General features: G+C 40.2%; 1 long non-coding RNA gene across 1 annotated transcript, besides 1 other annotated feature; it reads right to left on the bottom strand.

Annotated features, from left to right (window-relative positions):
* On the bottom strand, positions 1–24,869 carry LOC124902543 (uncharacterized). Its single transcript, XR_007062368.1, has 3 exons — positions 24,587–24,869; positions 9,670–9,713; positions 1–6,558 (listed from the first exon to the last, which is right to left on the bottom strand). It is a non-coding gene; the product is annotated as an uncharacterized LOC124902543 (long non-coding RNA).
* Positions 17,745–18,310: an enhancer, noted in NCBI's record as "OCT4-NANOG-H3K27ac hESC enhancer chr10:44607592-44608157 (GRCh37/hg19 assembly coordinates)". NCBI's record gives its function as "activates a minimal SCP1, AML or CMV promoter by ChIP-STARR-seq in primed H9 embryonic stem cells {active_cell/tissue: H9 hESC(primed)}" and the evidence as "EXISTENCE:reporter gene assay evidence [ECO:0000049][PMID:30033119]".

Genomic DNA, 24,869 nt, shown 5'->3' with positions numbered 1-24,869 from the left:
TTCTTTTACTTTTAATCTGCTTGTATCATTATCATTATAGACAGCATATAATTGGGTCATATGTTTGTTTATTCATTCTGAAAATCTATGTGTCTTAATTGGATGCTTAGACACTTTACATTTGATGTAATTATTGATATGTTTGGATTTAGGTTTACCATTTTATATTTTATTTCTGTGTATTACCTCTGCTTTCCATTTCTTTGTTCCTCTTTCCAGCTTTCTTTTGGGATAGTTGAACATTTTTAAAATATTCCATTTTTATTTATCTGTTGTATTTTGACCATACCTCTTTGTTTTGTTTCAGTTTTGTTTCTCTGTTTGTTTGTTTTTGTGGTTGCTCTAAGGATTACAGTAGACATATTTAATGTTTAAAAATCTATTTTTAATCAATGTTGTACAACTTCAAGTGGGATGTATAGACCTTACAGGAATATACAGGAATCAAATAAACAAAAGAAGTGCAAACTTATACTCTGAAAACAACAAGCATTATTGAAAAAAATTTCCAAATCTCTAAATAAATGGGAAGACATCCTATGTTTATGGATTGCAAGATTTAATATTGTTAAGTTTTGTTAAGATACTACCAAAAACAATCTACAGATTCAATGCAATCCCCATTAAAATTCCAGTTGCCTATTTTGCAGAACTTGACAAGCTTCTAATAAAATCCATATCAAAATACCTGGAATGCAGGATAGCCAAAATAGTTTTTACAAAGGAGAAAAATGTTGGAGGACTCGCACTTCCCAACTTCACAACTTATTACAAAGCTATAATAATAAAGACAGTGTGGTACTAACATACAGATAGACATAAAGATCACTAGAACAGAACTGAGAGACCAGAAATAAACTCTCACCTTTATGTACAACTGATTTTCATCAAAGATGCTAAGACAATTTATTGTGAAAAGAATCGTCTCTTCAAATGGTGTTGGGACAACTAGATATCCACATGAAAAAGAATAAAGTTGGATCCCTATCTCACACCATATTCAAAATTTAACTCAAAATGAATGAAAGACCTAAACGTAAGGCTTAATTCTATAAAATGTTAGAAGAAAGCATAGACATCAATTTTTGTCACCTTGGATTAGGAAATGATTTCTTATGTAAGATACCAAACCACAAGCAACAAACTAAAAATAAGTAAATTGAACTCTAACAAACTTAGAAACTTTCGTGCTTCAAAGGGTAATATTAAAAAGTAAAAATGCAATCCACAGAATGACAGAAAATATTTGCAAATTATGTATATAATAGGTTACTTGTACCTGGAATAAACAAAGAACTCTTACAACTCAGTAATAAAAAAAGCCCAATTAAACGTGGTCAAAGAATCTTAATATAAATTTCTTTAAAGAAGATATATAAATAGGCAATAAACTTATGACAGTATGCTCAACATCATTAGTGATCAAGGAAATGCAAATCAAAACCACAATGAGATACTACTCCACATATTAGGATGGTTGTAATTTTAGAAAGTCGGAAAACAATGTGTTGATGAAGATGCGGAAAATTTTGAGCCTTCATACATTGCTGGTGGAAATGTAATACAGTGCAGCCACTTTTCAAAACAGTCTGGCAGCTCCTCAAATCGTTAAACATGAAGAGAAATAAAAACATATGATTACACAAAAACTTGTATTATACAGACATTTTTAATGGCAACTTTATTCACAATAGCCAAAAAGTAGAAACAATCCAAATGTCCATCAATTAATGAATAGATACATAAAATGTTAGATATCCATACAGTGAAATATTACTTGACAAAAAAAAAGAAATGACATACTGATACATGCAACAACATGGATGAACTTTAAAGCATTATGCTAAGTGGAAAAGTCAATTACAAAATATCATGTATTATATAATTCTATTTATTTATATGACATGTTCAGAATCCTCAAATCTAAAAAGATGGAAAGTAGATAAGTGGCTGCTTAAAGTAGGGGAGGGGGATGATGGAGCATGGCAATAGACATGAAGTTTCCTTTTGTGGTGAGGACAATGTTCAAGTTTGATTGTGGTCCTGTGTTAGCATTCTACAGAGAAACAGAACCAATAGGAGATATAGATGATAGAGATAGATGGATAGATGATAGATAGATAGATAGATGGATAGATAGATAGATAGATAGACAGGTAGATAGAGATTGATAGCTAGATGATTGATGATTGGTGTATTGATGATTGGTTGATTGACTGATTGATTGATGCCCCAGTGTTGTCAATTTTACTGTGCTTTCTGGGCTATGTTCACAACAGAAGAAAATGCTAACTTTCAGTAAAATGTTAGTAAAATTAATGGTATATGTTTTTTCCTATATATATCTGAATATAATAAATATTTATATATATATAAAGAGAGACAGAGATATAGAGATATTTATTGTGGGAATTGGCTCATAAGATTATGGAGGCTGAGAAGTCTCAGAATCTGCAGTATAACCTGGAGACTCAGAAAAGCTGACGTTTAATTCCATACTAATTTGAAGGCTTGAGAAGCAGGGTGGGGAGCTGGGGGATGGAAGGCCACTGTTGTAAGTCCAGGAGTCTGAAGGCCCCAGAGCCAGAGCTTAGATACTTGAGGGCAGAAGAAGATGGATGTCTCAGCTCACGAAGAAAATTTGATCTTTCTCTTTCTCTCTGTTTTTGTTCTATTTAAGCCCCAACAGATTCAAATGATGACTACCTATTATGGTGACAGTGAGTCTTCTTCACTTTGTCCACCAATTCAAAGTCTAATTTCTTCTGGAAACACCCCCACACACACCCAGAAATAAGGTTTTTACCAGCTATCTGGGCATTCCTTGGCTTAGTCAAGTTGACACACAAAATTAACCATTACAGGTGCTTAGTGCATAATTTTGTAATTGTATTAAAAACTATTGAATTATACATTTTAAATGGACGAATTGTATTATATGCAAATTATATCTGAATAAAGCTGCTATAAAAAGGTTTCTGTTGGCGAAAAAGCCCCAGTGCTGTCAATCCTACTGTGCTTTTCGGACTGTGTTCACAACAGAAGGAAATGCTAACTTTCAGTTAAATGGTGGTAAAAATAACGGTATATATTTTTTTCCCATTGGTTTCACAAATCCCTGAATTCAATTTAAGATCCTCTGCTTTAGAGCAATTGTTCTCAAACTTTAGCTTGCACTGGAAGAACTTGTTCTATAACAGATCTCTGGACCCCATACCCAGGCTTTCTGACTCAGTGGGTCTGGAATGGAGCCCAATAATTTGCAATGCCAGCAGGTTCCAGGTGATGCTGCTGCTGCAGCTGTTAAAAATCCACACCTCAAAAATCACTGCTGTAAAGGAAAGGTGGGGAAAAATTTTTAACCCTCATTTGCCATACAAAGCTCTTCAAACAGAACCATTCATTCTGAAATATTGGCTTTCTCTGGCTCTCTTCTCTCCAAGGGCTTTTCTGGATGGGTCTATTCTATTTACAGGACCATGAATACAGACTTCCAGAATGGACAAATTAGTCAATTGTGCTTTTTCTTGAAGCCAGAGAAAGTTTAGCCAGCTCTTCTAAACACAGGGGCATGCTGGTACTGTGAGGTTTTCACGCTTTCGTTAACTCAGATACGTTGATGATTGTCACAGCTCCTTTTCAGTCAAGACTTAGGTGACTTCTAGGCTTCACTCATCCTGCCTTGAGAGAGGAACAAAAGAAAAACCCACCTGCTCTACCTAGTGACTCCTGCAGAGAGCTCATCTCATCAACCACACAGACACAGCCTGCTGCTGCCTGGAGTTCCCTTTTGGCTTCATAATTCCCCAGCCGCAATCCACATGTCCAAAAGCAGGAACAATTTTGTCAAGGCAATGGCAGAGAAGTGTTACGTCATCCAACCCCATTGTGATAAAAAAAAGGAAAATCAGACATTGCTCTTTGGCCTTTTTCGATTTTCTGTCACTCCAGAGCCCTGTTGTTCTTAATCATGCCTTCCCACGCGGTTTGATTCTTCTCTCTCCACTTCCCTCCTGGACTTGTCTCTGTAGGAACATCACATTCCTCCCCTCCCATGTACTAGGCAGAGAAGCTTTTTTCTTCCTCATGAAAACTAGGCATGGGCCCAAAACCCAGGTCCTGGAAGCTCATTTCTATCCCCTCAATAGGCTTATTAAACCATTTCCCCAAAAAAGCCAAGTCCCTTCTGAATAAAGAATTCTTGTAACAATTGCTAAAAATGAGAAAACATTTCTTCCATTTATTTCTTCTGAGTCTCAGAAGAAACATGTGTTTTCAGGTTCCAGGGACATTTCACTCTGGCCTTCAGTGTTGAGTAAGAGGTAATAGCCCCAGATGGCTAAACCCACATGAGTGTGGAATTTGTGGTAAGTGTTGTTATTGCTCATAGATCTTTGGAGTTCCCTGTGGCCCCTCCTCCATCTATTAAGAAAGCATTATGCTGGTGGATGGTACGGGGTGGCAGGCCAGGCCCTCCTTCCCCATCTCCTCCAGGAGAACATCTTTGGGGCCAGTCATCCCCACCCCTTTAACTGAGTTAAACAGGGAATCTACACACCTTCAGCAACTGCCATATATGAGAGCTTGGAGGGCTGTACCCCAAATCACTCAATGGCAGTCAGTGGAGGGTTCCAGCACTCATTTCTGAGATGAATTAGGCAAATGGTCCCCAGAAAAAACATGTGCATACAGGGAAGAGCTCCAGCAGGGAACAGGCCCTGCACCTTGTTCTCTCAGAGCGTATCAGAGGCTGTGAGGATGATAGTAGAGGCAGCTCTCTGTGGAGAACAAGGGCGTTCCAGGCACAGTCAAGGAGATCCTGGCCTTGATGTGAGATGACAACTGTCACTCATTTATTTCACTGTTTGTATGCCACAGTCATCCAATAATTGTTACTATTTTCACTTTAAACAGATATCTTTTAGGCCAATTAAAATAAGAAAAATAAAAGATTTTCTTTTACCTTCATTTATTTCTTCTCCAACTCTCTTCCTTTCTTTATGTAGATTTGAGTTTCTCACCTATATAATTTTCCTTCCACCTGAGGAATTTGTTGGAGGACAGGTTTGCCAGTAATGAGTTGCTTTACTTTTTGTTTGAGAAAGTTTTTATTTCTCCTTAATTTCGAAGGATAATTTTACTGGATACAGATAAGAGGAGCTGTGCATCTCACTGTTGAAGTGGACCTTACAGATAAGCAAAGGAAGAGTGCAAATGACCCATGCGTGGTAGTATATTATGGTTGGAAAAATCAATATGAACTAATGTTTAACTTAATAAAGATGCAGATACAAAAATACAGACATATGAGGTCAAGCATGGTGGCTCACACCTATAATCCCAACACTTTGGGAGGCCAAGGCAGAAGGATCGCTTGAGGCCAGAAGTTTAAGACCAATCTGGACAACATAGCACAAACTTGTCTCTACTAAAAATAAAAAATTAACCAATCTTGGTGGAGTGCTTGCAGTCTCAGCTACTCAGGAGGCTGAGGTGGGAGGATTGCTTGATCCCAGGAGGTTGAGACTGCAGTGAGCTATGATTGCACCATTACACTTCAGCCTGAGTAACAGAGTGAGACCCTGTCTCAAAACAAGACATGAAAATATTTATAAATATATATGTGTGTATAAACATGTTATTATATACATATTTATATTTCCTTGCTGTGTCAGCTAAGAGCACTAGAAGCAAGGACATCTCAATTTCAACGAGCACAGCTCATACCCATATCTTGGTTTCTAAAACCATTCTCCAGTAAAAGGATTCATGATTTCTTAGGAAAATGGTTGATTCTAAGGCAGAAGAGCAATTACCTAAGAGGAGCCCAGAGCATCTTGTAGTGCCAGAAAGTAAGAAGGTGCTCAAACAAAACTACTGCAAGGGAGTGCAGCAAAGGGCACAAGAGCCAAACAAAAGAGCTCTGCACGGCCACAGCTGGAGCAATGAAATAGAGTCGCATTGAATTACAACCCAAAGTGCACAATAATTATACATGAGTGCATATTGATATAAATACATGACTGAATAAGTAAATAAATGGGGGAAAAGAAGCAAATCTACTGTACAGAAGAATTTCAAATAATTTCGGTAGATAGCTCTCAAAGAGGTGGAGCATAACTCCCACTCCTTAAGTGTGGGCTGTGGTAGTGTGGAAGTGTGGCAGTGACTTTCTTCCAAAAAACTACAGTACAAAAGAGAAAAATGAGTAAATTTACGTCACAGAAACCTGCGAAGTATCACCTCAACCAGGTGCTCAAGGTCAACATCAACAGTGACAAGTCATGTTGATAGCATGGATCCCTGACACAATGTCATTAAAATAGTCCTTACCCCTGTTGGGCTTCTCCCCAAAGCCCATCACCTCATCAGTCTAATCATGGGAGAAACTTCAGACAGACTCCCATAGAGGATTAGCCTACAACGTACCTGACTAGTACTCCTCAATATTGTCAAGATCATCAAAAACAAGGAAAGCCTGAGAAGCCATCACAGTCAAGGAGAGCCTAAGGAGATCCTGTGACTAAATGTAACACAGTATTCATCCGCAGTGGGATCCTGAACACATAAAGGACATTAGATAAAAACAAAGGAAATACGAACAAAGCATGGACTTTAGTTTACAATAATGAATCAATTTTGTTCACAATTTATTAATTGTTCAAACATGTCATATTAATATAGGATGTTAACAGTAGGAAAAACTGGGTAGGAAGTATATGGGAACTCTCAGTACCATCATCACAATATTTTTGTAAATATAAAATTGTGCTCATTTAAAATCTAAAATTTGAGGATGAAATTACTGAGCAGATGTGCAGTTAGCCCTGGCCTCCCTGCAGAGATTTGGCTCCTGGGGTCTGTTTTCCTCCTGGCCACTGACTGGCCTGATGTCCCCATGCACACCCACACTTAGCAGTTTCCCAGCAGGGCTCCGTCAGTTTCTCCTCTCCAGCCTGCTCCTCCTCGGGGCTATTGAACAACGTTAGTCACATCCCCAGTCTCCAGGTCCCACAGTTAGAAGGGCAGAGTCCTCCTAGTTCCTTCTTTCCTTATCTTCTTCATCCTTGTTCTCATAGATCTACCCCAGCCCAGGCCTCCCTGTTCCAGACTGCCCATCCCTTCTCTGTGCTAATTCACGTCATTCAACCTCCCCTGCATTTGAAGTCCTCAAGGTGTGGGCCTGCCTCCCTCTCCAGGCTTTTTCTCCAGTGTTCCTCCTGCTCATCTGGACCGCTGGCTCCTCTGCTGCATGGCCCATGGGGCCGTTTCCATTTCTTTGAATGCATACATTCTTCTGTCTGAAATTCCACATGACCACATCCACTGATCTTCACTGAAAGCTCCCTTTTCCACTTAATCTCCCCTACCTCCACACACTCAAAGTAGATGACCCCCTTCTGAAGCCCCAAAGGTCTGCATCTCTCTCTCTCTCCTCTAATAGCACATTTCATTTTCTTCCAGACTATGCATTGTATTGTGCATCTTATCTAAGCTGCCTTTGGGGCAGGTTCATCTCTGCACCCATATGTTCCCGAGGCCACACATTTTACATGGTGACACTCAGGAAGGAATGCACAGGTGAATGAATGAACAAATGAATCAATTGCATCCTAGAGCTAGAAGCAATCTCAGAGGTCATCAAGCCCAGCCCCAAGAACCCACATTTCATCCCAAAGGTGAGGGAGACTCTCAGAGAAAGGAAACGAGCCACTCAAGGTCACTTCCCTTATTTAGAGCAGTGTCAGCACTAGATGACAGCTGAGTTATTTCCAAAAGAATGTCAGGCTTGAAGTTGTAGAATCAGTTTGGAATCCCAAACTATGGGTCTCTGTGATTGATACATAAACAACAAATAACAGTTAATGTTGATTAAATTATTGTCAGGTGCAGGTGCTCTGCCAGGAGCTCTAGGTAAGCTATGTCATTTGATCCTCAAAACAGATTCTATAAGTTAGGGTTACTTTTGACCCCACTTTATAGATGACTCTGAGTCTTAGACTAAGCAGCTTTTCCAAGTCACACACTTGTTAAATGTATGAGAAAGGTTTGAGCCTAGGTAGTCACACATGAGATGCCATACTCTGGACCAGCACATTAAGTCACTCTATCCACCTCAATTTCACCCTCTGGAAAACAAGTGTAATAAGAGTATATGACCATCATGGGATACAACATATATGAAATAGAATGTGCTGAATTCTCTGTCATTCAATTAAGACTCTGGACACCTGAGTATCTGTCTCAGCTCTTGCACCTCAAGCAGTTTGGGAGGAAGTACAACCCTTTGCTTCTCTGTGCATCGGTTTCCACATCCATAAAGTGACGAGTTTGACCAGACTGTATTCAAAGTTCCTCTCTGCTGTGTCCCAGGCATCTTCATGCTGGGTCCTCTGGTTTGGACATGCTAATATTAAGTTGTTTGCTTTGTACTGGGTCATATGCTCACTGATATGTCATGCTATTTGCATGACATACAATGTTCACTGACATGCCAGGCTTGCTTCAAGTTTTATACATGAGACCAAAGCTTCTCATAAAATGTCTCTTCAGTGCTTATTATCATTTAAGGTAGGAGTCATTCTTGGAAATATTTTTTTCTGTTTTTTAATAAAAAATGTTATTTTGGGCTGGGTGCAGTGGCTTACGCCTATAATCCCAGCACTTTGGGAGGCTAAGGCAGGCAGATCACCTGAGGTCAGGAGTTCGAGATCAGCCTTGCCAACATGTTGAAAGCCCATCTCTACTAAAAATACAAAATTAGATGGGCATGGTGGCAGGCACCTATAACCCCAGCTACTCAGGAGGCTGAGGCAGGAGAATCACCTGAACCCGGGAGGCAGAGGTTGCAATGAGCAGAAATTGTGCCATTGCACTCCAACCTGGGCAAAAAGAGAGAAACTTTATCTCAAAAATTTAAAAAAAATGTTATTTTGCACAAAATTGCCCTTAGTTACTAACATTAGAACTAAAAAATATCTCTTTGAGATTGCTCCATGAAGTACAAATAAATATGCTTTATTAGTTTTAGTAACTAAATAGTACATATAATATTAATTTGCCTAAATTTTACTTTGTTTCTGCTACTTTTAGTTAAATATTGTTTGAAACATTTTTCTTGATTCAACATAGTTGTATAATTTAGTAGTTGCATAAAATTATATTGTACTGAAGTATCATAATTCATTAAACGTCAGTGTTGGGTATTTAGGTTATTTCCAATTCTCCGTGGAATTAAATACAAATTTGTAAAACATTGGCTTTCTGGGCTAGATTTGAGCATCTAAAATTGGCAACAATATGAAGTCTAATTTTTCAGATTCTGAAAGAAAGGACCCTATTATCATCCAGTCGTGAGGTTCCCATATATGGGTCTGTGTTAGACCCAAAAACTCAAACTTCATGGGCAATGAGTTGGTGTGTAATAATTTTTAATTTACTTCTTTATCATCCATCTATTCCATTTATCTAAATATTTATTTTAGGCATGCTGTCTTTTAAGCATTCTGCTGGGTTCCAATGATATGGGCAGAATATCTTCCCCTACATTATGGAACTTCTAATCTATTTGGGGAAACAGATAGTACTGCAGTAAAACACATATGCATGAGAGAGAGTGCATGCAGAAAGAGAGTCTAGCAATGTATGAATCAGTTAGTATGTACTTACCTTGGATAAGTTAGGTAACGTCTCCTGTACTTCAGTCTCCTCATCTGTAAATAAAAAATAATAATAGTTAATATGTATGAAATGTTTAGAAGAGTTCTTGGCACATATTATCACTCAATGCATGTTAGCTATTGTTGTTTGTATTAATTTTTCATTGCTGCACAACAAATTATCACAAAATGGCTTAAAACAGCAAGCATTTGCTATCTTCCATAGATCTGAGAGTAAGGAATCCAGAAACAGCTTAACTGGGTGGTGCCACTATCAGGGTCTTTTATGAAGCTGCAGTCAAGGTGTTGGCCCAGGGCTGCAGTCATCTGAAGGCTTGACTGGGACTAGATGGTGCACTCTATGGCTGTTGGCCGGAGGCCTCGGTTTCTTATCCTGGGGGTGTCTATGTAGGGCTGCTTGAGTGTCCTCACAACATGGCACCCACCTCCCCCTGGATCAGTGATGAGAGAGTAAGAGAGAAAAGAAGATGCAGTGGCTTGTATGACCTAGTTTTAAAAGTCACACACCATCACCTCTGCCCACATTTATTTGTTAAAAATGAGTCACTGAGTCCTGCTTTCATTTAACAAGAAGATAATTAGGGTTTACTTTTTGAAGACTGTCAAAGAGTTTGTGGACATTTGTGTTTGTAAAAGACCCAAAGATGCAGAAGGACCACTCACAGTGCCTGACTGTGAGAAAGTGTTTCCTCTCTCTACTTTTTTGTGCCCCTCCTGGTACAATAGTGCACGCCAAGAAGGCACTACAGAAAATTCATTTCTGTGATATCTTTGGTAAACCTCATGCTAGTTATACTAATCCAGATCATCTGTGTGCATCATCACCAGAAGCACATAGTAATTTTGGTTCCAGTTGTGTGTTAAATCAAAGCAAATAATAGATTGATGGCTTTAACTCTTTAAAACTCTTTTAAACCCAAGCCAGTTCAATTCCTTTTAGTACATCTCACTCAAATTTTTTTTATTTTACTCAAGAAGTATTTACATTTGAACCTAGAACAACACGGAACTGAGGGGCACCAACTCATCATGCAGTTGAAAATCCATGTTATAACTTTTGACTCCCCCAAAACTTAACTACTAAAAATCTGGCATTGACTTGAAGCCTTGCTGATGATATAGTCAATTAACACATATTTTATATGTATTATAGACTGTATTCTTCAATAAAAAAGGTAGAGAAAAGAAAAGTTCATTAAGAAAATCATAAGGAAGAAAAAATACATTTACAGTAGTGTACTGTATTTATCAATACCATAAGTTTATGTCATCTGTTTACAAGATGAATTATCTGCCTGAAGCGAAGAGCAACCACAGCTTCAGACCTCAGTCTATGGTATATATCAAGCAATTCGCCTTTTTCTTGTACTGTCAAGATTTTTTTCTGCTTCTTGGGAGCACTTCTAGCATCACTAGTGGCACTTCACGTGGGTCCCATGGTGTTATTGGTTTCCAGTATTGCACTAAACATGATGAAAAATACATGAGAACATCTAGAAATCACTTTTTTCTGCAATATGAAGTTTACTGGAGAGATGTCCTGCCCATGCTGAGATGATTAGTGTCACAGGGCATTATAAGCAGACACTGGCAACCCTTGAACTCACTGCAATAGCAACGGAAGATGGCTATGAAGTTATTATGGTGGTATAGTGTGTCCTACAGTTAATTTTATGCAGTTATGATTTAGTAATGCATCTTTACATTTGTTTACATTTCTCTGGACTAAGAATGGCACCATGTATGATCTGTAAGCATTTGTGTGCATGAGTTTTGACAAATTTTAACTTTTTATAAGATTTCCATAATTAATGGTAGTAAGTGATAAAATTGACTAGTATCTACATATATTTTGTGCATTCGTGACATACCTACCTTTTTCTTGTTTCGTCAATATTTTTAAGCTATGGAATTCAGCTGCATTTTTTAAAAAACTGTAGCAATTCTCCAAGTTTTCCAATGTATTTATTGAAAAAAAGTCCTCATGTAAGTGAACTTGCACAGTTCAAACCTGTGTCGTGCAAGGTTAAATTGCACAATGTCCTGAGAGACACAGGTAAGCCTGACAGTGAGAATCCACAGCAACAGGCTAGAGGCAACTTCCAAGTCCACTGGGCCAGGTTAGGAAGCACCTAGAACACCCTCTCCAGCTCTCCCCACAGCTGCATGGCTGACTTCACCTGGCCTTTAGTTTCCTCATAAACCTACTTCTTCAATCATGTTAGTCTTTTTGCGCAGGAGAATTCTGACCATTTTTATTATAATTTTTTCAATTTACATATTTACAAGGTTCCATATCCTTTGCATACTTTATCTTTAATCTTTATTTAAACTATCATAAACAAATATTACTAGCTCTCATTGGAAAGAAGACTGAGTCTCAGAGAAATCAAAGTAGTTGCACAAGATCACACAGCGACAGAACTAAGGTTCACGGTTAGGCTGGCTGGCCCCCTATCCCATGCTTCCACGAAGCTGCCATTTTTTGGAGCTTTATTTCAGAGCCACAAAACTACAGAATCCCACAGTCTTCTCTCAGGGATTACCCTCAGCTGTACCAGTTCCTTTTCCAAATCTTTCCCAGAAGCCCCCATGCACTACAGTAAGATGTCACCCATCACCCACACACAGAGTTGCCAGATAAAATAAAAATGTCCAGTTAAATTTGCATTTCATAAAAATCACAAATCATTTTGCTAGTATAACTGTCTAGGGCAATATTTTCACATCCTAGGACAGACTTAAGCTACAGAGTGGTTTCTTGTTTATCTGAAATGTAAATTGAACTGAGCACCCAGCAACAAACCCAGGCTTAACCCAGGCTAAGATGCATACGAGGCTCTTTCTCCTCACCAGCTGTGCAGATCCAAGCAGATTGTAACGTTTCTGATTTATTCACAAAATCACAGTGGATGTGGAGCCCAAAGTATGGAAGCCTCCAGTATTATGCCCCAACAATGAATAACTAAGTTGGATGTGCAGGAAGCTGGAGTTTCTGGTAACACTAAGAGAAATGTCCTTGGCTCCCCCATCTTGGGTAAAGGCAAGAGTAGAATGCTTCCCCTGTTCAGTTGGAGGCATTTCAAATGTGGAGACCAGGGTCTCTGTGGATTACTTGTAGCAAAGTCTTCGCCCCAAATTCACGTTCCTTTGTTACCCATATGGCCTGAAACAGCCCCACTGCCATTGGGTGTGCAATGACCTTGGATGGGAACCATGGGGTGTGCAACCCCATAGGACTCCTGATAAAGTGGACTCTGCCATAGGACCCCAGATAAAGTGAGTTTTCCCATAGGACCTCAGATAAAGAGAGCTCTTCCATATGACCCCAGATAAAGTGGGCTCTTCCATAGGACCCCAGAGAAAGTGGGCTCTTCCATAAGACTCCAGATAAAGCGGGCTCTGTGGCATTAGTTTGCTTTTGGTGTCAAACAAAGTTGGCCAGGACAGATGGAATGGCACCACCGCTATCCTACAATGTGCTTTGCCTGAATCCTGGCTGACCTTTCCATTGTCCCTTTTTTTGGTGAGCTGATAGCTGAAGAAATGGATGTGGCTCCACAGGCCTTCAGGCTGCTCCAGCCCTGTGTGACCCCTCTGCCTGCAGGTTCTATGCTAGCCCCTGCCTCTCTCCCCAGGGGTCTCTCAGATCTCCAAGGCTTCCTATACAGGATTTCCCTTCTGAGTCTGCTCTTCTTTCTTCTAGGGAACACCTACTGACATTTTGGGTATTTGCTGAAATGCTTTCTTATGGGAGGCCTGCACTAGGTTCTGCCCATTATGATTGGGTCAGCTTTGCCAACCATATGCTTTCATAGCCTCTGAGAGTATGCTTAATTAATTTTACATGACGGTGTATTTAACTTCTGGCTTTCCTGGTAGACTTTTAGTTCCTTGAGGGCAGATATCAGGTGTCTTTTGTTGTTGCTGCCTCCCTAGCACCAAGAACTATATAAAGGCCAATATGCTTACTAAGCATCAATGGAATGAAACAAATGGAAGCCTCTGTTGTTGGAGGCAGGCCACTCCAAACGCCCCTCTGCCTCCTCCCTTGCCTTCCCATCACCCTCGTGAGTCTCCCGTGTCTATGGCCCAGGGCACCGATGACCTCGTCTCTTCTCTCTTTGTCCTCTTGCACTGGAGAATAGCCTGGAGCCGCCCCTTTCTCAGCAGATGTTCAATACTCAGAGGGTTGTCACTCCCTAGTTTTGCTGTGTCCCTGGTCCTTGACCTCCTTAACGATTAGTAAAGGACATTGGATATGAAGAAAAGGGAACACATCTCACTTCAAAATCCCTGACTGTTCTTTTTTCTGTTAGTGCCACAAAGTTTCTTTGTCCCCTGAACTTTTCTCCTGATATCTGTACTCTGCCCTGTCTCTTCCAACCCATGGGCACACTTTGGCTCTCCCATAGCATTTTAAAACTTCAGCTAGAGCCCGTGACCCTAGGGTGAAGCAGCTTCTAGTGGTAATGAGATAACACCAATAGCACTTGACTTGTCAATAAGTCTGATTTGTTTGTTGTGCTTTTATTTTCTTTGTTTTTTTGCCTACAAATGAGATTATAGGGTTGTATATCAACAAATACACACTTTTAAAAAAATTTTACTCTCTTCTATTATAATAAGCTTCAAATCATTTTAATATTCATGAAGTCCTTTAGATCTGCCCTGGTCAATTTGGTGGCTATGAGCTACCTGCAGCCGTCTGAACTTAAATGCAAAGTAATTTAAATAAAAGTAAATTAAAAATCCAATTTTCCCAGGCTTACTAGCCACATTTCATATGGTCCCAGAACTGCTTCCACACTGGTGTGGGTCTGATGCATTCATTCATTGCCCTACAGATAGCCCTGAGTACTGGTTTTGGTGATCTGTTCAGTCCTCTCAGGGATAATTTCCATCAGGCAGCCCGAGCTCTTGCTTCTAATTGATTTACTCTTTCAAATTCAAAGCATGAGAGAAATGAGTCCACACAACGGTAGCTCTTTAACAATTTCCTGCAGACAAAGTTTGCTTATCCCAGAACAATCACCTTATTCTGGAAAAGAAAGGAGCTAGAAGCCGAGGACAGTGAGATCTCTTCTTCTTACAGGATGTGTGGTGATGCTAACAAGGAGTTTCCTGGAGATGTGGGCACCTCCTGTCCCTGCTGTGGTTTCGTATGCTGCCTCCACTTGACACCTCTCACCTGCACAGCAGACAGGGCTTTCCTCCTGGAAAGTGCCTCCTCGAAAAACTTTTCCTCCACTCTTTGGCTCTCAATCACGCTCCCTTGCCATAAATCAACTTCTGTCTCTCTAACAAAGAAAATTAAAAGCTATTTATTCTATGTGCTTATTAAGAGATAACTGATCTAGAATAAAGAAATTGAGAGATGAAGGAACAAATGAAATGAATGAATTTCCAGATTCCCTTCCCTGGCAGGTATTTCATCAGCAGTCAGTCTGTTCTCATATACGGGGTGACCACACACTGGGCTCCTCCCAAACCTTGATCATATATTGCACCAGAGAGAGAATCAAGCAGCATCCTGGCCAATCTTCTGACCTACGAAGGAAATACAAGAGGGCAGGGGTGCCATGCAGGTTGCAGCTTGTGTGCATCTCTGATAACAGATTTCTGGGGCTCTGGTCTATACTTGGACTTTCAGGCCAAACGGGAAACATATCCTCCAATTTTCCTATTCCCTAATGTTATTCAAAAGCAATCTGTTTAAAAGGAAGCAGGCTTGGGGACAGTCTCAGGGCTCCACTTGCATAGCATGTGAACTGTCTCCACTTGCAGGAGACAAGGCTGGCTGTTGGCCCTTCCCTACTTGCTGTCCCTACCTGTCTTTCCCAGTCTAGTGCTCAGACATATGGCGGGGGGAAGCAGAATCTCAGAGCAGCTCCTGACCCCTGTAAACATTGCACAGGTCTGGATGTGGAAAAAGACTCTTTGAAAGGAGACTGGGCAGAAACTGTTATCCCCATATGTCATGATTTTGAAGGCTGAGAATACTAGAGGGGATGTTATTGTAGGACAGGGAGGGTGATGATCATGGGTTAAAGGGCAGAGACCATGAGTTCAAGGGCAGTGACTGTAGTTCTAGACTAATGACCGTGGGCTCAAGAATAGTGATTATGAGTTCAAGGGTGGTAACCATGAGTTCAAGTATGGTGATCATGGCTTCAAAGCCAGTGACCATAGATTCAAGAGTAGTGACCATGAGTTCAAGGACAGTGACCATGGGTTCAAAGACAGTGAACATGGGTCCATGGCAATGACCATGGGTTCAAAGGTAGTGACCATAGGTTCAGGAATGGTGACCATGGATTCAAGGACAGTGATCATGGGTTCACTGGAAGAAGAGGGACACCTTCTAATATAGCTGGAGAGAAGAAAAAAAAAGATAAGCCAGACAGATTTTGAGTCTTCTCTAGATATTGGAAACCATAAATTTGTAGGGGGACCAGCCTAGGTAAATGGGTGCTCAGGAGCCTGTGGGCAATAGAGGGAAAGGAAGACATTTGTATGGGTTGAGTTATAGCATGCTCCCACATTCAAACCCACGCTGTAAGTCCTTGATTTTGTTGTTAGCTGAACTGGACTCCATGACCCTCAACTGCTGACCAGTGGGGAAAATGATAGTCTATGTTTTCAAGCATTCAAACTAATTGAAAGTTTATTCTAATCTTGTCATTTTAACAGTCCTTATGGGGGAAAGTGGAGGGCAAACCTTTTAGATAGCTTCCCCCTCCTTCATTCCCTGAGATGACTCCTGAGGATAGGAGGTGAGGTATGTGCAGAGAGGCCCCTAAGTGAAGATGGCCTTGATTTGTGATCCCAACACCCATATGCTAATGGTTCAGGCTTCTTGTTAATATTTTCTTCAAAAAAAGTTCCCATGATTTGGCTTTTGGTTTTGTCGACTAGTGGAAAAATGCTAGAGAGCTGTTCACTCTGTGATTGGAACAAAAGGATAAATTAAAATTCTGTTTGCTGGGGGGGGTAGGAGGCAGGTTACTGATCTGGTCTCTGTAAATGGTCAGGGTGCTGACAGCCTGGGGCTCCCAGGGAGATGTTAGGATGAGGGGTGCCGTCCTCTGCTGCAGCTGCTCTTATGTTCAGATTCCAGTTTGTGGCTCCCCTCTTTCTCATATCCTTGGATGTTCCTTGCTCCTTTCCATAACTGGGAAATTTGCTGAAACCTCATCAGCTTATGGCCTGACCTACCCAAGTCCATTCCATCCTCTTCTCTGGCAGATTTCTTCTCTTTGGGATTTCACTGATGAAATGAGAGGTAAAAACAAACAAAAAAAATGTATTCAGGCTTTCAGTTTTCATTATGTCTTACTAAAACTTTGAAAGTTGTAAAATATCTCCACAGATGCTCTGGCTCCAGCCCTCAAGTTTAGCCGTTTAGTGCTATAATTGCTGATTCTCAATTTCAATTTTTACTTTTGATTTAAACCATGAATGTGATATAAAGTTGTTTTAATTTTAAATGTCTATGTGGGGTTTTTTGTTTGCTTTGGAAGAGAATGAGAGATGGGAGTAGATTTTTTTTTAAAATGCTTTTCTAAATATATATAATTGTGTTGCAATGAAGGGATATGGATCAAAGTTCTCTGCCTTGGGGATTTATGGAGATGTCCTTTGTGTCCTAATCACAGTCTGTTTTATGACTATTCTTCAGGTATCTGAGAAGAATGTGTACTGATCTGTATATTTTACTGTGAAAAGCTTTCAAAATCCGCCCTTCAAGGGTTCTGCTTCTGGGGCCATGTTTGGAAATGCCACTCCCTCATGATTAGATAAAGATTCATTTATGTTGTTTTAGCACATACTGTTTTCAGGCTTTGTATTTAGAATTTTAATTAACTCTGCATTAGAGGTGGAGCCAAGATGGCCGAATAGGAAAAGCTCCAGTCTACAGCTCCCAGTTTGAGCAACGCAGAAGACGGGTGATTTGTGCATTTCCATCTGAGGTACCGGGTTCATCTCACTAGGGAGTGCCAGACAGTGGGTGCAGGACAGTGGGTGCAGCACACCGTGTGTGAGCTGAAGCAGGGCGAGGCATTGTCTCACTCGGGAAGCACAAGGGGTCAGGGAGTTCCCTTTCCTAGTCGAAGAAAGGGGTGACAGATGGCACCTGGAAAGTCGGGTCACCCCCACCCTAATACTGTACTTTTCCAATGGGCTTAAAAAATGGCACACCAGGAGATTACATCCCACACTGGGCTAGGAGGGTCCTACACCCACAGAGTCTCGCTGATTGCTAGCACAGCAGTCTGAGATCAAACTGCTAGGCGGCAGCTAGGCTGGGGGAGGGCCTCCTGCCATTGTCCAGGCTTGATTAGGTAAACAAAGCAGCCAGGAAGTTCCAACTGGGTGGAGCCCACCACAGCTCAAGGAGGCTTGCCTGCCTCTGTAGACTCCACCTCTGGGGGCAGGGCACAGACAAACAAAAAGACAGCAGTAACCTCTGCAGACTTAAATGTCCCTGTCTGACAGCTTTGAAGAGAGTAGTGGTTCTCCCAGCATGCAGCTGGAGATCTGAGAATGGGCAGACTGCCTCCTCAAGTGGGTCCTTGACCCACGAGAAGCCTAACTGGGAGGCACCCCCCAGTTGGGGCAGACTGACACCTCACATGGCCGGGTACTCCTCTGAGACAAAAGTTCCAGAGGAACAATCAGGCAGCAGCATTTGCAGTTCACCAAGATCCACTGTTCTGCAGCCACTGCTGTTCTGTAGCCATAGCTGCTGATACCCAGGCAAAAAAGGTCTGGAGTGGACCTCTATCAAACTCTAACAGACGTGCAGCTGAGGGTCCTGTCTGTCAGAAGGAAAACTGACAAACAGAAAGGACATCCACACCAAAAACCCTTCTGTACGTCACCATCATCAAAGACCAAAAGTAGATAAAACCACAAAGATAGGGAAAAAACAGAGCAGAAAAACTGGAAACTATAAAAAGCAGAGTGCCTCTCCTCCTCCAAAGGAATGCAGCTCATCACCAGCAAGGGAACAAAGCTGGACAGAGAATGACTTTCACGAGCTGAGAGAAGAAGGCTTCAGACAATCAAACTACTCTGAGCTACAGGAGGAAATTCAAACCAATGGCAAAGAAGTTAAAAACTGTGAAAAAAAATTAGATGAATGGATAACTAGAATAACCAATACAGAGAAGTCTTTAAAGGAGCTGATGGAGCTGAAAGCCAAGGCTCGAGAACTACGTGAAGAATGCAGAAGCCTCAGGAGCCAATGCAATCAACTGGAAGAAAGGATATCAGTGATAGAAGACGAAATGAATGAAATGAAGTGAGAAGGGAAGTTTAGACAAAAAAGAATAAAAAGAAACGAACAAAGCCTCCAAAAATATAGGACTATGTGAGAAGACCAAATCTACATCTGATTGGTGTACCTGAAAGTGACAGGGAGAATGGAACCAAGTTGGAAAACACTCTGCAGGTTATTATCCGGGAGAACTTCCCCAGTCTAGCAAAGCAGGCCAACATTCAGATTCAGGAAATACACAGAAAGCCACAGAGATACTCCTTGAGAAGAGCAACTCCAAGACACATAATTGTCACATTCACCAAAGTTGAAATGAAGGAAAAAATGTTAAGGGCAGCCAGAGAGAAAGGTCAGGTTACTCACAAAGGGAAGCCCATCAGACTAACAGCAGATCTGTCGTCAGAAACTCTACAAGCCAAAAGAGAGTGGGGGCCAATATTCAACATTCTTAAAGAAAAGAATTTTCAACCCAGAATTTCATATCCAGCCAAACTAAGCTTCCTAAGTGAAGAAGAAATAAAATCTTTTACAGACAAGCAAATGCTGAGAGATTTTGTCACCACCAGGCCTGCCGTACAACAGCTCCTGAAGGAAGCACTAAACATGGAAAGGAAAAACTGGAACCAGCCACTGCAAAAACATGCCAAAATGTAAAGACTGTCAAGGCCAGGAAGAAACTACATCAACTAACGAGCAAAGTAACCAACTAACATCATACTGACAGGACCAAACACACACATAACAATAATAATCTTAAATGTAAATGGGCTAAATGCTCCAATTAAAAGACACAGACTGGCAAATTGGATAAAGAGTCAAGACCCATCAGTGTGCTGTATTCAGGAAACCCATCTCATGTGCAGAGACGCACATAGGCTCAAAATAAAGGGATGGAGGAAGATCTACCAAGAAAATGGACAGCAAAAAAATGCAGTGGTTGCAATCCTAGTCTCTGATAAAACAGACTTTAAACCAACAAAGATCAAAAGAGACAAAGAAGGCTATTACATAATGGTAAAGGGATCAATTCAACAAGAAGAGGTGACTATCCTAAATATATATGCACCCAATACAGGAACAACCAGATTCATAAAGCAAGTCCTGAGTGACCTACAAAGAGACTTAGACTCCCACACAATAATAATGGGAGACTTTAACACCCCACTGTCAACATTAGACAGATCAACGAGACAGAAAGTTAACAAGGATACCCAGGAATTGAACTCAGCTCTGCACCAAGCGGACCTAATAGACATCTACAGAACTCTCCACCCCAAATCAACAGAATATACATTTTTTTCAGCACCACACCACACCTATTCCAAAATTGACCACATAGTTGGAAGTAAAGCACTCCTCAGCAAATGTAAAAGAACAGAAACGATAACAAACTGTCTCTCAGACTACAGTGCAATCAAACTAGAACTCAGGACTAAGAAACTCACTCAAAACCACTCAACTACATGGAAACTGAACAACCTGCTCCTGAATGACTACTGGGTACATAACGAAATGAAGGCAGAAATAAAGATGTTCTTTGAAACCAACGAGAACAAAGACACAACATACCAGAATCTCTGGGACACATTCAAAGCAGTGTGTAGAGGGAAATTTATAGCACTAAATGCCCACAAGAGAAAACAAGGAAGATCCAAAATTGACACCCTAATGTCACAATTAAAAGAACTAGAAAAGCAAGAGCAAACACATTCAAAAGCTAGCAGAAGGCAAGAAATAACTAAAATCAGAGCAGAACTGAAGGAAATAGAGACACAGAAAACCCTTCAAAAAATTAATGAATCCAGGAGCTGGTTTTTTTGAAAAGATCAACAAAATCGATAGACTGCTAGCAAGACTAATAAAGAGAAAAAGAGAGAAGAATCAAATAGACACAATAAAAAAAGGATAAAAAGGATATCACCACTGATTCCACAGAAATACAAACTACCATCAGAGAATACTACAAACACCTCTACGCAAATAAACTAGAAAATCTAGAAGAAATGTTCCTCGACACATACACCCTCCCAAGACTAAACCAGGAAGAAGTTGAATCTCTGAATAGACCAATAACAGGCTCTGAAATTGTGGCAATAATCAATAGCTTACCAACCAAAAAAATTCCAGGACCAGATGGATTCACAGCCGAATTCTACCAGAGGTACAAGGAGAAGATGGTACCATTCCTTCTGAAACTATTCCAATCAATAGAAAAAGAGGGAATCCTCCCTAACTTATTTTATGAGGCCAGCATCATCGTGATACCAAAGCCTGGCAGAGACACAACCAAAAAAGAGAATTTTAGACCAATATCCTTGATGAACATTGATGCAAAAATCCTCAATAAAATACTGGCAAACCAAATCCAGCAGCGCATCAAAAAGCTTATCCACCATGATCAAGTAGGCTTCATCCCTGCGATACAAGGCTGGTTCAACATACACAAATCAATAAATGTAATCCAGCATATAAACAGAACCAAAGACAAAAACCACAAGATTATCTCAATAGATGCAGAAAAGGCCTTTGACAAAATTCAACAACCCTTCATGCCAAAAACTCTCAATAAATTAGGTATTTATGGGACATATCTCAAAATAATAAGAGCTATGTATGACAAACCCACAGCCAATATCATACTGAATGGGCAAAAACTGGAAGCATTCCCTTTGAAAACGGGCACAAGACAGGGATGCCCTCTCTCACCACTCCTATTCAACATAGTGTTGGAAGTTCTGGCCAGGGCAATCAGGCAGGAGAAGGAAATATAGGTTATTCAATTAGGAAAAGAGGAAGTCAAATTGTCCCTGTTTGCAGGTGACATGATTGTATATCCAGAAAACCCCATCATCTCAGTCCAAAATCTCCTTAAGCTGATAGTCAACTTCAGCAAAGTCTCGGGATACAAAATCAATGTGCAAAAATCACGAGCATTCTTATACACCAATAACAGACAAACAGAGAGCCAAATCATGAGTGAACTCCCATTCATAATTGCTTCAAAGAGAGTAAAATACCTAGGAATCCAACTTACAAGGGAAGTGAAGGACCTCTTCAAGGAGAACTACAAACCACTGCTTAATGAAATAAAAGACGACACAAACAAATGGAAGAATATCCCATGCTTATGGATAGGAAGAATCAATGTCATGAAAATGGCCATACTGCCCAAGGTAATTTATAGATTCAATGCCATCCTCATCAAGCTACCAATGACTTTCTTCACAGAATTGGAAAAAACTACTTTAAAGTCCATATGGAAGCAAAAAGAAAGCCTGCATCGCCAAGTCAATCCTAAGCCAAAAGAACAAAGCTGGAGACATCACGCTACCTGACTTCAAACTATACTACAAGGCTACAGTAACCAAAACAGCATGATACTGGTACCAAAACAGAGATATAGACCAATGGAACAGAACAGAGCCCTCAGAAATAATGCCACATATCTACAACCATCTGATCTTTGACAAAGCTGACAAAAACAAGCAATGGGGAAAGGATTCCCTATTTCATAAATGGTGCTGGGAAAACTGGCTAGCCATATGTAGAAAGCGGAAACTGGATCCCTTCCTTACACTTTATACAAAAATTAATTCAAGATGGATTAACGACTTACATGTTAGACCTAAAACCATAAAAACCCTAGAAGAAAACCTAGGCAATACCATTCAGGACATAGGCATGGGCAAGGACTTCATGTCTAAACACCAAAAGCAATGGCAACAAAAGCCAAAATTGACAAATGGGATCTAATTAAACTAAAGAGCTTCTGCACAGCAAAAGAAACTACCGTCAGGGTGAACAGGCAACCTACAGAATGGGAGAAAATTTTTGCAACCTACTCATCTGACAAAGGGCTAATATCCAGAATCTATAATGAACTCAAACAAATTTACAAGAAAAAAACAAACAACCCCATCAAAAAGTGGGCGAAGGATATGAACAAACACTTCTCAAAAGAAGACATTTATGCAGCCAAAAGACACATGGAAAAATGCTCATCATCACTGGCCATCAGAGAAATGCAAATCAAAACCACAATGAGATACCATCTCACACCAGTTAGAATGGCAATCATTAAAAAGTCAGGGAACAACAGGTACTGGAGAGGATGTGGAGAAATAGGAACACTTTTACACTGTTGGTGGGACTGTAAACTCATTCAACCATTGTGGAAGTCAGTGTGGCAATTCCTCAGGGATCTAGAACTAGAAATACCATTTGACCCAGTTATCCCATTACTGGGTATATACCCAAAGGACTATAAATCATGCTGCTATAAAGACACATGCACACGTATGTTTATTGTGGCACTATTCACAATAGCAAAGACTTGGAACCAACCTAAATGTCCAACAACGATAGACTGGATTAAGAAAACGTGGCACATATACAACATGGAATACTATGCAGCCATAAAAAATAATGAGTTCATGTCCTTTGTAGGGGCATGGATGAAGCTGGAAACCATCATTCTCAGCAAACTATTGCAAGGACAAAAAACCAAACACCGCATGTTCTCACTCGTAGGTGCGAATTGAACAATGAGAACACATGGACACAGGAACGGGAACATCACACTCCAGGGACTGTTGTGGGGTAGGGGGAGGGGGGAGGGATAGTATTAGGAGATATACCTAATGCTAAATGATGAGTTAATGGGTGCAGCACACCAACATGGCACAGGTATACATATGTAACAAACCTGCGCATTGTGCACATGTACCCTAAAACTTAAAGTATAATAATAATAAAATAAAATAAAGTAAAAATTAACTCTGAATTAAATCTGGCATGAGATAGGGGTCCGCATTCATTTTTCTTTCCAAATGGTTATCCAGTCAATTGGGACTTCTAAATGATCAAGCCATCTTCACCTTTCACCCAATTTCTTGCAAGAATAAATTCTGTCAACACACGTGTGTCTATTTCTGAATGATACAATGTATTTTATCTCTGTTAATAATATACTTCCTCATTACTCTTATATAACAATTTCTTAACTGGTAACATTTGTGTTTTTATTTTTTGTTAGGTTTTAAAAAAGTAGTCATGAGACACATTTGGTTGGAATTGTTTTAAATATATGGAAAAATAAGGAGAATCAACACCCTCAATAATATCTTTCCTTTGAGACATTTAATCGCAAGTCCCTAATCACTGATGCTTATACATAACACTGACCAGTGTCCCTGAAAAAATGTGTTCTACGGAAATATTAATTATAGATAGTGATAAAAGAGGAATGTGTCCTATACATACTGCTTTCACCTTACATTTTACCTAAGCCCATTTTAGATAAACTGGAACTATTTTCTCATTAATAGTCATAAATTAGAAGTAAGCCCAAAAGACCAGTGGACCTGGTATCCAATTTCAAACCAAAAGAATGAATTAAGATCAACTTCTCTAAACTCCAGATTAGCCACCTGCCAACATTTAATTGACTTAGATCTAACACTTGTGTTCTGCAGGTCAACTCATTTAGTTACCAGAATGTACATTTTTGCAACCAATTTATCTTGGAAGTTTCATTAGGAAATGGCATTGCTTAAAATTAATCATTTTCTGGATGAGTTATCGGAAGGTTTTATGGCCACGGTGAGTGACCGTAAATACTTACTCAGAATGTTTCCAACATGACTGCAGCCACACTTCACGGTTCTGAACTCTGAAGCCCCAGCCCCTATTTGTCCTGTGTTTCAAGCATATCCAAGCTGTTTTCTTAGTCCTGCTCAAATGTGGTTCTTTGTTCCACTGCTGAATAAGGACTGAATGGTCTTTTTCTCAGGAACAAATCTTTTCAGGCACTATAATTTTCTTAAGACAACCCACCATTTGTGTTTTTGAACATTTGGATCTAATATCCTTTGGGACACACATCCATTTCGCTCCAAGTTTTTCCA

The sequence above is a fragment of the Homo sapiens genome, chromosome 10, assembly GCF_000001405.40.
Source record: "Homo sapiens chromosome 10, GRCh38.p14 Primary Assembly".
In the NCBI taxonomy this organism is placed as follows: domain Eukaryota; kingdom Metazoa; phylum Chordata; class Mammalia; order Primates; family Hominidae; genus Homo; species Homo sapiens.
The sequence above is the reverse complement of the archived record's forward strand: the minus strand, read 5'-3'. Positions and strand labels throughout refer to the sequence as shown.